Here is a 14,631-nt window from a genome sequence, read left to right as displayed (position 1 = left end):
TAGCCGGGCGTAGTGGCGGGCGCCTGTAGTCCCAGCTACTTGGGAGGCTGAGGCAGGAGAATGGCGTGAACCCGGGAGGCGGAGCTTGCAGTGAGCCGAGATCCTGCCACTGCACTCCAGCCTGGGCGACAGAGCGAGACTCTGTCTCAAAAAAAAAAAAAAAAAAATGGGTCATGATTCCAGGAAACCAAGTTATTGGAATCTTTACTCATATCTGTTCTTTTATCTTTGCTCATCATGTTTTAGGATTTAGACTTGTTCATTATTATTATCTTTTGAAGTTGGGTTAAAGTGTTTCTATTTCTCCAAAAGAAATTCACATATCTACACAGAAATATAAAAAGCAGAATATTAAAATTAAGAATTAACTTATATATAGCATTGTAATAACCTTGAAAACTGGCCCAATAATTTTAAGAGTTAAATTGTTCTCATTTACTATTTAACTTTTTTCTCATTGTACTTAAATAGTTTGTAGTTTGTCAACAGTAATCATAAATTTTTGGTTGAAAAACTAATTAATATTGAGTTTCATTTTGGGAAATTTATAATATATAGAAATGTTTTTGCCCCTATTAGCTAATATTCTTTTATCTTATATGCATTTTAAAACTTTATAACCTTATATATTGGCATGATGGAGATACTGGTCAGTTATAAAGTTTGTTCATTAATAAATAATTCACATATTCCAATTTCAATTCTTTATACAACTTGCTGAATTTCAGCATATGTATGAATGTGAAAATAAGCAGAAAAATTATTTTTAAAAAAGGCATAGCATAATGATGATATCCAAAGCCTTTTTTAAAAAAAGGCAAGAGAGAAAATAAAACTGAGAATTTAGTTAACATGAGATAATTTACTAGTATTCTTCCAGGATCCCAGAAGATTCAAACATGCAAACTAGATGAAAAATAAAACTGCCCTCTAAAAATAAGTCTACAGATAAAACAACCAGTATAAATATGTAAAATATTCAAAGTTAAGCAAAAAAAAAAATCTTATTGTATAACAATGGGATTTGTATACCAAAAACACAAATGCCCATATGTGTGTCTGGTTGTGGGGAAATGAAAACAACCATGAAAATTCATAGTGACAATTGGTAAAATTATTTTAAATAGAACCATGGCAGTATCCAATGCATCCCCCCAAATTACTGATAATTTGACCAGTAATCTTATTGCTGATACTAAACATGCAGAGATAATTTAAATGAAGTAAAACAGTGTGCACATGAGATAAGTCACTGAACTGTGTTTCACAGTGAAAAACTGGGAGTAAGCTTTCTCTGTTGTTCTGTATATAATAGGATATTGCAGGGTATTTTTTCTATTTCCTGGAATTTTAGGCCAAAGCTGAAGACAGAGGGGAGCAGGTATGCAATATATGTTTATTAAACCAGCAATAAGGTGCTAGTTGTTGAGGATGGTCAAATTCCTGCAGAGCTTAAGGAGTAGATTCTAAGTTACCCAGCTATACCATACTCTACTTCCAACACCTGGGACTAGGATGAGGCAAATGAGGGGTCTAGGGTGCAAAGTTAAAGAAGCACTTGCCCAACCCTGAGTGAGTGCCTTCATAAATTTTGTGCTCTATGCTTCTTTCCCATTGGACAAGGGTTTGGCCTCTAGACTTGATAAGATATACCTGTGGATGGGTAAACAGGGGAAAGCATAATTTGAGAGAAGCAAGGCTAAGGAAACAGAGGACAGGGGTCTGAGAAGAGAGGGGCCGTGGAGGAGCCTATCCACCTACTGTTTGGCATGGCAGGACTGCAGGTCTCTTGTGGATCAAGTGCACACCTAGGATGACATTTCGGTTTGAGCCATCATCTTCCATCATTTCTACTGCTCCCCAGATTTTTCTGCTGCTGGAGATGCCTCACTTTGCAAGTAGCTTTCTTGGTGCAGTACTTGGCAGGATGGCTTAAATAGAGGTATGTTTTAGGTTTTTCAATTGACATAGGAAATACGCAACCCTGCTGTGCCAAACAGTGGGCCTGAAGCTGCTCCACTGTCACCCTTCCTTTATGCCCATTCCCTTGTGCACCTATTATTTTTAAAACTCTCTGGTATCTATGTTGATTTGTATCAATAATGTAAATGCTAGAAAAAACTTGAAGCTTTTGTCATATATATGGATGTATTTAGCACAGCTCTTTGCAGGTTGTATGATTCATTCTGAGGGCTGCTTTACATCTTAGCCAAAGTCTCTTTGCTGAGAGCTTCTTCAACAAGATGCAAATAGTACGTGCAGAATCCCCAAAGTTAAACTGTTTGTATAATTCATTAAAACAACCAAGGATAAATTACAATAACTCTTTATTTTTATTAAATCTTAAAATTGTAGAGTGCCATTTCTGAAGGTTATCAGTTTCCACAGAATTTGTACTTGTCAATTCCATCTTTGATGAAAAATATTTTTCTACTGACTCTCCTGAATTTGATAGAGCTGTGCTTTATATAGCATAACTTCGTCAGTAACATGAGCAATAGTACTGAGGTGGCATCGGCAAACCAATAAATGATGAAAACTTTGCCATACAGTTACATCATCTCAGTAGTCTTACCATTTGTCTACTTTAACTTCTTAAATTTAAACTTCCTTTATGTCACTTGGAGTAAAGGCATCTAAAAGATTGCTCACAACAGCAATAAAGTCACATTTCAGCTATGCATCTCATTTGTAAAATTTAAGTTTGCAGTATTGCCAAAAGTGTTGGTTAGTTCATATTCAAAACAACGACAAAATGCCAGAGCACTCGGTAATGCAACAAGTGTAGTATTCCCGACTGTTTTAGTGTTTTGCTAGCTAAAATGCATACCATTCTATGTAGGAATTTTGCAATGGGGATGTTAAGAACTGTTGCCTGACTTTTCTAATTGAATATCAACTTTGTATTGCTTCTGATCATGTTTATTACCATTCAGAAAGTTATTATCACTATCAAAGATGCATGGTATTGACTGTTTTTGTATAATGATATATTGCACACTATATAGAGATGTACTTATCATCTTTCAAGAATTTAAAATCTAAGAAAACAATAATGATGTCAACTAAGATGGTTTAAAATGCATTGCCAAACGGAGTATCTGTCTCCCGCATGATAGCATTCAAGTATGGGGCTACCAAATCAGCAAAGTTGATACTTTTTCCACACATTGATAAATACAAGAATTAATAAAGATAGGAAATCCAGTAACATTTCATTTTATTTGTGGGATATCTTGTGTGTGCACTCACACGTGCATGTGTGGCTATCTGAAACTTTAGTAAAACTATAAGCTCATAACATTCAAATTGGTCTGTTTTTCTATACATAATACCTTACATTTATAAATACCTTTGTAACCAGTATTCTTATTTTGATACCAAAATATTCTGAGATTTTAAAGTGGGGGGCCATAATTACTATATCAATTTTTCAGGTAAGTAAACAAAAACACAAAAAAGTTTAGAGACTTGACCAAGATGGTATTACTAATAAGAAAATCAGGTATTATTAGTTCATTGAACTTTCATTTGCTAGTTAAACATGCATTTACTGATTCTGTTAACCTTATTTTAGTCACTAGTCACTACGTACAGAAGGATTAAAGGCATGTTCTATGCTCATTCAGACTGAAGGTGGGGGAGATATTTTTTAGACATAAACTATACGTACATATAGTAAATTCAATTACAAATTTATACAAATAAGAGCTGTAAAATCCCAGTAAATTAAATAGCAATTTCTGCAGACACTCTAGGTAGATTTTAATGAGAATGTGATTGTTAAGTACTTCTGAGTTGAGAAAATCAGAATGGTAAATTAATCTGGTCTAGAGGTAAAGTTGGAAAAGCACATGGGGCTAGATTGTAAAGAATGTTTACATCAGGTTAAGAATATTTGATTTTTTACTCTTTTACCCATTTGCTTTTTGCCACTTCCGGTTGACCTCCAAGTACTACCAAAACAAAAAACAAACAAACTAACAAATCCTATAAAACACAGAAAGAATGCTTAAAATGTAAAAAAAGTCAGAAGAGCATTGCTATAGAAACTAATTAAAAATATTTCAAGAAATAGTTTCTGTAAGTCATGGTCAAATGCTGCCAAGTGATAAGACAGGATGAGGGCTGAAGATTGTTTTATGGATTTATCAATTTGGAGGTTACTGAAGATTTCAGTAAGAACACTCCGAAGAGAGTGATATTTAGCCACTCAATTAAGCCCCTCTTCTTGCATAGAATTGTGTTTGGAAACTTAGTTCTTTCCTTAATCACATTTTCCTGTCATGTTTCAAATTTGCTCAAGGTTCACTTCTCTGCAAATGAAACTGAAAAATGAATCTAAACTAGTGCATTTCATGAGAATAGATGGATTAATTTATCCCTCAATGAAAACTTGCATTGAATAATTGCCTAGATAACTTTTGTTTTATATACCAGAAAAGGCAAAAGCCCCTTCACTGATATGCTGCAAAGAGGGAGATGAGTGAAATGCTGGGAGCTGGGTGTCACTTTTGTTTTTAGAAGGAATGCTACTAAGACATTACCATATGCTATATGAAGAATAAGCTGTTGGCATCTATAGTAATCAAGAGCTTCTAAATTTGCCTTCAGTGTAAAGTAAGGCAGGAATTTTAATTTGCTAATGTCAAATAACTGCAGGAACTTACACTTTCCATCATGTTACTTCCCTTGTCAAAAACTTTCAATGTTTCTTGAATGATAAATTGTATAACCTTAGATCATCAAGGTAAACTGGTCATCAGTTCCCTCTTCTATAAAAATGTCATGATGCTTTCTTTTTAATATCATTTGGGAATTAAATAAAAACATAAATAAAGCCGTCAATACAATGTATGCATCTTCAAATATGGTAATTACATAGCAAATAAAAGACAAATCCATAGGCTCATTTGCTAACCTAGTACCAAGCTAGTACACTTCCTGATACTACCATAAGCTTACTTTGCATTTGGAATATATTAAGCTGCTTACCTTTTAATTAAACATTAATCTTTTCTACTTCTGTATCAGTTCATATATATATATATATTTGATTCACCCACAATGTTCTAAATCTGACCATCTTCATCCATTAAAACACTGCAGACACTATTTTTAATGTCAGGGTTTTAAATTACCCCTGTTTATTATAGCCCAAAGTTATTTTCTTTCATGAATTCCCATGACACATCATTCCTGCCTTTTACACAATTGTATTTTTGTAGCAAATACCATAGGTTGGTCCACTCAATACCCTTTCCACATTCCTTGACTTCCTTTTCCTGAACCATAGAGGCTACAAAATAACAAGTGACAAAATTGGGTCCTGAAGATTATCCATGTGTCATTGCCCATAGCTTTTTAAATTTTGTCAAAGATGGAAAGGAAAATGAATGTTGGTACTGACTTCCTCCTTTGGTGCCTGCATTTCTCATGAACTCTCCCTCCTATATAAGAGTAATTTTCAAGTAGCTATGTAGGTATATTAACAACTAGAGCCATATCATTCCCTTACTAATTATAATTCATATTCTGACTTCAATTTAGTATTTTCTATTGAGTAAGGACAGCTAGAAGGAAACAAGTAGTATAGAAGCTGGAAGAAAAATAATAATTCCTAATCTATTTATATACCACATACATTCATGTTTATTATCTTTATTGTCTTTTAATCATTTTAAGATGTTTGCTGAATAGTTCCAATTTTGCAGAATTTTACAGATGGATAATAGAAGTCTTAATATTTGGAATCTAAAAAGATTGAACTCAAAGGAGCAGAGTAGAATGTTGGTTACCAGGGGCTGGAGAATGATAGTTGGTCATAGATTACAAAAATATGAGTTGGATAAGAGGAATAAGTTCAAGAGCTCTATTGTATAACATGGTGACAATAGATAATAACAATATATTCTATACTTGAAAATTGCTAAGAGAGATTTTAAGAGTTCTTAACACAAATGAATATTATATGAGGTAATACATATGTTAATTAGCTTGATGTAGCCATTCCATAATGTATACATATTTCATGTTCCACACCATATATATATACAATTTTTGTCCATTAAAAATAAATAAATGAAATAAATTAAGACAGATTAGGTAATTTTGTTAAAATCATACACTAGGTTATGATGTTGGGATTCAAATCTGTGAGTTTTTGATTTTATGGTCTCAGTCATTTTCAATTTTACCACATTGCGTCATTCATTACTTTAAATGTGAAAGTGCATACCACCAGGCACAAGGCACCCTTTACCTTTACCAATTAGGTCTTATATAGCCTTATATAGCCTAGTAACCACTTTTAAAAATGCTAAAAAGATTATCCCAATGGCTTTCTGGTGTTTTAGTCTGTTTAGCACTGCTGTAAAAATCTGCACAAGACTGGGTAATTTGTTAAAAAGAAAAAAAAAAGAGGTTTAATTGATTCATAGTTCCACATGGCTGGGGAGGCCTCAGGAAACTTAAAATCATGGCAGAAGGGGAAGCAGGTATATCCTATATGGTGACAGGCGAGAGAGCATATGAAGGAGGAACTGTCAAACACGTATAAAACCATGAGATCTAATGAGAACTCACTATCATGTGAACAGCATGGGGGAATGACCCCCATAATCCAATCACCTCCCTTTCTCGACATGTGAGTATTACTGGTCCCTCTCGACACGTGGAGATTACAATTTGAGATGAGATTTGAGTGGGGACACAGAGCCAAACAATATCATTCTGCCCCTGGCCCTTCCCAAATCTCATGTCTTTTCACAGTTCAAAACCAATCATGCCTTCCCAACGGTCCCCCAAAGTCTTAACTCATTTCAGCATTAACTCACAAGTCCACAGTCCAAAGTCTCACCTGAGACAAGGCAAGTCTCTTCTACCTATGAACTTGTAAAATCAAAAGCAAGTTAGTTACTTTCAAGATATAATGGGGATACAGGCATTGGATAAATGCTCCCATTCCAAATGGTGAAATTGGCCAAAACAAAGGGCCTACAGGCCCCATAAAAGTCCAAAATCCAGTAGGGCAGTCATTAAATCTTAAAGCTCCAAAATAATGTCTTTTGACTCCATGTCTCAAATACAGGGCACGCTGATGCAAGGGATGGGCTTCCACAGCCTTAGGTAGCTCTTTCACAGGCTGATATTGAATACCTGTGGCTTTTCCAGGCACACAGTGCAAGTTGTTAGTAGTTCTACCATTTTGGGGTCTGCAGGATGGTGACCCTCTTCTCACAACTTCACTAGGCAGTGATCAATGGGGACTCTGTGTGGGGGCTCTGACCCCACATTTCCCTTCTACATTGCCCTAGCAAAGATTCTCCATGAGGGCCCTACCCCTGCAGCAGACTTCTGCCTGGACAACCAGGCATTGCTATAAATCCTCTGAAATATAGGTGGAGGTTCCCAAACCTCAATTCTTGACTTCTTGACTCTGCACATGCAGACCCAGCACCATGTAGAAGCCACCAAGGCTTGGGGCTTGCACCCTCTGAAGCAACTGCCTAAGCTGTACTTTGGTCCCTTTTAGCCACAGCTGGAGCTGGAGCAGCTGGGACACAGGACACCAAGTCCTGAGTCTGCAAAGAGCAGAGTGGCCCTTGGCCAGGCCCAAGAAACCATTTTTCCCTCCTAGGTCTCTAGACCTGTGATTGCAGGGGCTGCCACCAAGATCTCTGACATGGAGATATTTTCCCCATTGTCTTGGTGATTAACATTCAGCTCCTCATTACCTATGCAAATTTCTGCAGCAGGTTGAAATTATTCTCAGAAAATGGGTTTTTCTTTTCTATTGCATCACCAGGCTGCAAATTTTCCAAACGTTTATGCTCTGCTTCCCTTTTAAACATAAGTTCCTATTTCAGATCCTCTCTCTCAAATTCAAAGTTCCACAGATTCCCTAGGGCAGGGGCAAAATTCCACTAGTCTCTTTGCTAAAGCATAGTAAGCGTGACCTTTGCTCCACTTCCCAAGAAGTTCCTCATCTCCATCTCAGACCACCTCAGCCTGGACTTCATTGTCCATATCACTATCAGCATGTTGGTCAAAACCATTAAATAATCCTAGGAAGATCGAATTTTTCCCTCATCTTCCTGTCTTCTGAGCCCTCCAAACTCTATCAACCTCTGCCCATTACCCAGTTCCAAAGTTGCTTCCATATTTTCTGTATCTTTCTAGCAGTACCCCACTCTTTGTACTAATTAACTGTACTAGTCCATTTTCATATTGCTATAAAGGACTGCCCAAGACTGGGTAATTTATAGGTTTAATTGACTCACAGTTCTGCATGGCTAGGGAGGCCTCAGGAAACGCACAATCATGGCAGAAGGGGAAGCAAGCATTTCTTACATGGTGGCAGGTGAGAGTGCATATGAAAGATGAACTATCAAATACTTATAAAGCCATCAGATCTCATCAGCACTCACTCACTATCATGAGAACAACATGGGGGAAACTACCCCCATGATCCAAACACCTCCCTCTCTCCACACATGGGCATTACAATTCAAGATGAGATTTGAGTAGGGCAACAGAGCCAAACCATATCATTTGGAGATGACTTTCACCGGCTCATGAGAATCACTGGACACATTTCTTCCTGACTCTGTGTTCAGTGACTTCATGAAGATAGCTTGAAATTGATCATGTTGGGAATATTTACACTATGGAAATTGGCAAACTTCATGAATCAGGGCTTTTCCTCTTTCTCCTCAAGCTGTTTTTTTAAACATTTACCAGAACACCACTAGTCAAAACACTTTCATTTGGAATCTTTAAAAACATCTTTCCATAATTTTAACATTAATACTTTTCTTTTCCTATTATATACATTTCAGGGCTGTTTCATCTATTGACATTTGAGAAATCATTGTCATATCCTTTATGTTTCAAAGACTTCCCACTATTAAAAATAAAGCCCATTAATTTCGACTTTTTCCCTATTTACTCCTAGATCTTCTTTGCTCTTTTTTAAAATGGCAATTTCAATGTGCAGTCTTGCCAGGAACTATCACATTGAAGTAGTTTGAGTGTTTGTCTGTAGGAAGGCTTTTTTTTTTTTTAACAATAGAATTCCACTGAATGACCTGGAAATATATGAACTGCAAAGGCAGATCTATGGTAAATCATTCAGAGGAACTAGTGAGCCAGACTACTGGAGAATCTCCAATTTTGCCACTATGGTTCATATATAATTTTAAGTGTTTCCTATATGAGAACTCAAGAAGTATGAATTAAAGAGCCTTTCTGAACTAAGGGAAGAAACAAATTAATAAAGTATCTGAAATCAGGATTACTTACTAGTACTTACTATATGGCCTATTGGCATATAAAAACAAAGTCAAGTTATCTGGGGAATAGCAATAGAAAGTTTTAATATTCTAAGCTTATATGAGCTGATATAAGATCTATCTCAGATGAGTTCCATGTCAGTGTATACACATACTGGTCAGATGCTTCTTAAAATTAACTCCTGTGCAAAGTAACTGTGGTTTCTTCTTCACATGAAATATAAACTGTGTCAAAGCCACAAGTTGGGGAACATACATATTTTCAAGATTGCATGTAGTTCCTCATCTACCTGAGTTCATATTGAAATAATTTATACACCAGTAAAAGAGGAAACAACTGAGCCATTTTTAGAAAATGACTAGTGATACCAACATCTTCCTGGCCAAAGTTTCAGGAATTTCCATTGAAATAGTGTGATTCAGTTTGATGGAAGCCACAGAGGATGGAAATATAACAATATTAAATTTCACCTCCTTCAAAAAAGCTATCTATCTAGAAGGCAAATAAAGATAATGCTGGCTGATTCAGTCTGCCACATCCTGAGTGAATGGGTCAAAGAAAGGCATCAAAAGAAAGTATGGGGAGAAATGGAAGTCATTTCTAGGCCTACTGTCTGCTTGGAACTTTGGGAAAAACGCCGACATCCAGAAATGTGTGATTTGGCCAAGCATAAAATTAGGCACTGCTAAAGTTTATTATAGTAAAGACAGCAACATCAAATGGAATGAACAATGACATTTCCGATGAAGGAAGTTTCTTTTGGGACTGTTTGTTCCTTCCACTTCCTGTCAGGCTATAAGATCTGGAAATGATAAGGAATTCAAAGCATGACCTACATCAGTTTCTAGCAGAATCCATATAAACTCCATTTGGCTATAAGTTTAAATTGAATAAACATATATTTTCTCCAAAAGAAGAAATAAATCAAGAAATTATTTGTCAATAAAAAAGACAATGACAAAAGAGAAAGGAATGACAAAAGAAAAAATAAAACACTGAAACTTGTTTGATCAGGTAAAATGGAACCTGATATTTATGGTAGCTAATTAAAAAATAAGGTGAGTTCATCTACTGAAAGGAAAAAAAATAACCAGATGGTGTATCCAGATTGGGTAAAAACAATTTAATAATATTTTGCTTTTAAGAAAAATTCAATAAAATGACTCAGGCCCACAAACTTTAGGCAAACTTAAAGAAAGGAAAAATAATAAGGCTAACATTGGACAAGATGAATTTAATAAAATAAAGTAAATTTCACATAGAAAGATCGGACAATCATGTGTTTTTAAGTGCCCCCAAATCAAACACCATAACATACAAATAAGCATAAGATGGTTAAGTCCAATGGAAGATAGACAAATGTGATTATAGAGGGAGACTTTAGTGCATCTCTAGCAATCAGATACAATAACATAAGAATATGGAATGCTGAATATAATGCTGTATTATTAGTGTAGTATCCAGTATGTAATTTGCTGTTTGTCAAATGTACAGTGGAACTTATCACAAATTAAATGCATGTAAATCAAAAAAGAAAAGCTTAGTTAAGTTTGTCAATTAGAAATCATGCTAGCTACATTTTCTAGACAAAATGTAATATTAAAACTATGCATCAACTGAAAATATTTAAACACAAAAACTCCAAATATTCCTGTTTGAAATCGCTTCTTAAAAATAATTTTTTGAGTTGAAGAAGGAGGCTTAATTGAATGATACACTATTTGGTTTGCACGATTAAGAGTGATTTATAATAATTCAAATGGACTATCTCTCTAAATATAATTATATGCTATTATTTAGTACATGAAGCAGAAACAATATTGCTGAGGAAAAATTTTTAGATTCAAAATATTTTCTATTATTTTTAACTCCATCTTTTATGTGATGATATATTGACTATTTTAAATAGTCAAGAAAATCAAATAAAAATCTATTCATATAAGAATTAAGTAAATTAAATGGATAAAAGGAAAATGAATAAAAATATGTGACTTTTCTGTAAACTAGCCAAAATCAAAAGGAAATGTAATAATATGTTAGGAACCAAAACAAGTCTCAATGAACTTTTAAAAATAGAAACCACATAAAATATTTTCTCAGACTACAATAAAACTAGAAATCTATAAAAAGAGAAACTTTGTAAACTATACAAATTAAACAACATGCTCCTGAACAACCACTGGGTCAAGGAAGAAATTACGGTTAAATCAAAACAATTCTAGAAACAAACAAAAATTCAAACACAACGTATCAAAATCTATGGGATACAGCAAAAGCAGTGCTAAGAACAAAGCTGATAGAATAAATGCCCACATAAAAAAGTAGAAAGATTTCAAATAGACAATTTAAAAATGCACTTTGAAGAACTAGAAATGCAAGAACAAACCAAACCCCAAATAAGTAGAAAGAAAGAAATAATAAAGATCAGAGCAGAATTAAAGTAGAGGCAAATGAAAAAATGCAAAGGATAAATGAAATGAAAATTTGTGTTTTGTAAAGATAATCAAAATAAATAAATCACTTGATGGATTAACCAAAAAATAAAAGAAAGAAGGCCCAGGCAAAATCAGATATGAAAAAAAAAGACATTACAACTGATATCACAGATACACAAAGGATCATCAGGCACTATTATGAACAACTATACATTAAAAAATTAGAAAACCTAGAGGAAACAGATAAATTCCTGGACTCATACAACTGACCAAGATTGAATCAGGAAGAAATTAAAAATCTGAACAGATCAATAACAAATAATAAGATTTAATAAGTAATAAACAGTCTCCCAACAACAGAAGTACAGGACCTAATGGTTTCACTGCCAAATTCTATCAAACTGTCAAAGAAGAACTAACTCCAATTCTCCTCAAACTATTCCAAAAAATTGGAGAGGAGAAAATTCTACCTAACTTATTCCATGATGCCAGCATTATCCTGATACCAAAACCAGACAAGGGCACAACAAAAGAAAACTACAGGCCAATATACCTGATGAACATAGGTACAGAAATTCTCAAAAAAATACTAGCAAACCAAATCCAACAGCACATTAAAAAAATAATATACCACTATCAAATGGGATTTATCCCAGGGATGGAAGAATGGTTCAAGGCATGCAAATCAATAAACAATATACATCACATCAACAGAATGAAGTACAAAAACCATATGATGATCTCAATTGACATGGAAGAAGCATTTAATAAAATTCATCATCCTTTCATGGTAAAAATTCTCAACAAACTAGGCATAGGAGGAACATACTTCAACATAATAAAGGTCAAATGTAATAAACCCACAGGTAACACCATGCTGAATGAAGAAAGCCTGAAAGCCTTTCCCCTAATAACTAGAACAAGATGAGGATGACAACTTTCCCCACTCCTATTTAGTATATTACTGGAAGTCCTAGCCAGAGCAATCAGGCAAGAGAAAGAAATAAAAGGCAATCAAATTGGAAAATAAGTCAAATTGTCCCTGTTTGCTGACGATATGATCTTATATATTAAAAAAACTAAAGATTCAACCAAAAAACTCTTAGACCTGATAAATTCAATGAAGTTGCGGAATACAAAGTCAGCATACAAAAATCAGAATCATTTCTATATGCTAATTAATGTACTAATTAATGTACTAATAAATCAAGAAGGCAATCCCATTTACAATAGCTACAAAAATAAAAAATACCTAGGAATAAATGTAACAAGGAAATGAAAGATTTCTAAAAGAAAAACTACAAAACACTGTTGAAATAAATTAAAAACAACACGAAGGGAAAGATACTCCATGCTCATGGATCAGTAGAGTTAATATCCTTCAAATGACCATACTGCCCCTTGTGATCTACAGATTCAATGTAATCTCTATCAAAATACCAATGAGATTTTTTACAGAAATAGAAAAAATAATCCTAAAATTTGTGTGGAAACTAAAAGAGCCCAAATAGCCAAAGCAATCCTGAGCAAAAAGGACAAAACTGGAGACACCACGCTACTTGAAACTCAATATATTACAAGGCTATGGTAACTAAGATCGCATGGTACTGGTACAAAAACAGACACAGAGACCAGTGGAATCGAATACAGAACCCAGAAATAAATCTACATATTTACAGCCAACTGATTTTTGATGAGGGTTCCAAGAACATACATTGGGGAGTCTCTTCAATAAATGGTCTAGGAAAACCGAATGTATACAGAAAATGAAACTAAATTCATACCTCTCACCATAAACAAAAATCAACTCAAAGTGGATTAAAGACTTAAATGTAAGATTCAAAACAATAAAACTCTTAGAAGAAAACAGGGAAAACACTTCAGGACATTGGTTTAGGAAAAGATTATGGCTGAGTCTTCAAAAGCATAGACAACAGAAACAAAATTGGACTATATTAAACTAAAACTCTTCTTCACAGCAAAGCAATAATCAGCAGAGTGAAGAGACAACCTGTTGAATAGGAGAAAATATTTGCAAACTATTCATCTGACAAGGGACTAATATCTAGAATATACGATGAACTCAACAGAAAAAATAAAACAAATAATTCCATTAAAAAGTGGGCAAAGGACAAGGGGAATGTAAATCATAACCACAGTGAGTTATTGTTTTACCCCAGTTAAAATGGCTATTTTTAAAAAGACAAAAAATTACAGATGCTGGTAAGGAAACAGAGGAAGAGAACTTTTATACACATTGACAGGAATGTAAATTAGTATAGCCACTATGGAAAACAGTATGGAGATTTCCCAAAAAACTAAAAATACAATCCAGCAACTCTACTACCAGATATTTATCCAAAGGAAATTAGTATATCAAAGCATACTTGTACTTAAATGTTTATTGCAGCATTATTCATAATAGCAAAGACATGGAATCAACCTAAGTGTTCATCAGTGGATGAATAAAGAAAATGTGGGATTTATACACAATGGAATACTATTTTCCAATAAAAAAGAATGAAATCATGTCATTTGCAGTCATGTGCATGGAACTGGCGGTCATTATGTTGAGTGAAATAAGCCAGACACAGAGACAAATTTCACATGTTCTTACTCATATTTGTGAGCTAAAAAAAGTTGCTCTCATGAAAGTAATGAATGTGCATGTAAATGGGGCAAAAAAAAGTGTTTGGTTAATGAGTACAAACATGTGGTTAGTTAGAAGGCATAAGTTCTAATGTTTGATAGCAGAGTATGGTAACTATAATTAGCAACAGTGTATTGCATATTTCATTTTCTTTTCTTTTTTTAAGTTCCAGGGTACACGTGCAGGATATGCAGATTTGTTACACGGGTAAACGTGTGCCGTAGTGGTTTGCTGCATTTATCAACCCATCAC

At 34.4% G+C, this 14,631-nt stretch overlaps 1 protein-coding gene across 5 annotated transcripts in view; it reads right to left on the bottom strand.

Moving 5' to 3' along the window:
* Positions 1 to 14,631, bottom strand: part of HTR1F (5-hydroxytryptamine receptor 1F) — a 201,134-nt gene that overhangs the window by 173,497 nt on the left and 13,006 nt on the right. The window contains exon 1 of one of the 5 annotated variants that reach the window (XM_005264751.4): positions 1,762 to 1,905. The exons of the other annotated variants lie outside the window; for them this stretch is intronic. The gene's annotated coding sequence lies outside the window, so the exon portion shown is untranslated. Of the gene's footprint in view, positions 1 to 1,761; positions 1,906 to 14,631 lie in introns of those variants that run through there. 5 annotated transcript variants of the gene reach the window in all.

The sequence above is a fragment of the Homo sapiens genome, chromosome 3, assembly GCF_000001405.40.
Source record: "Homo sapiens chromosome 3, GRCh38.p14 Primary Assembly".
Lineage (NCBI taxonomy): Eukaryota > Metazoa > Chordata > Mammalia > Primates > Hominidae > Homo > Homo sapiens.
Note: the sequence above shows the minus strand (reverse complement) of the source record. Positions and strands in the feature narration are given on the sequence as shown.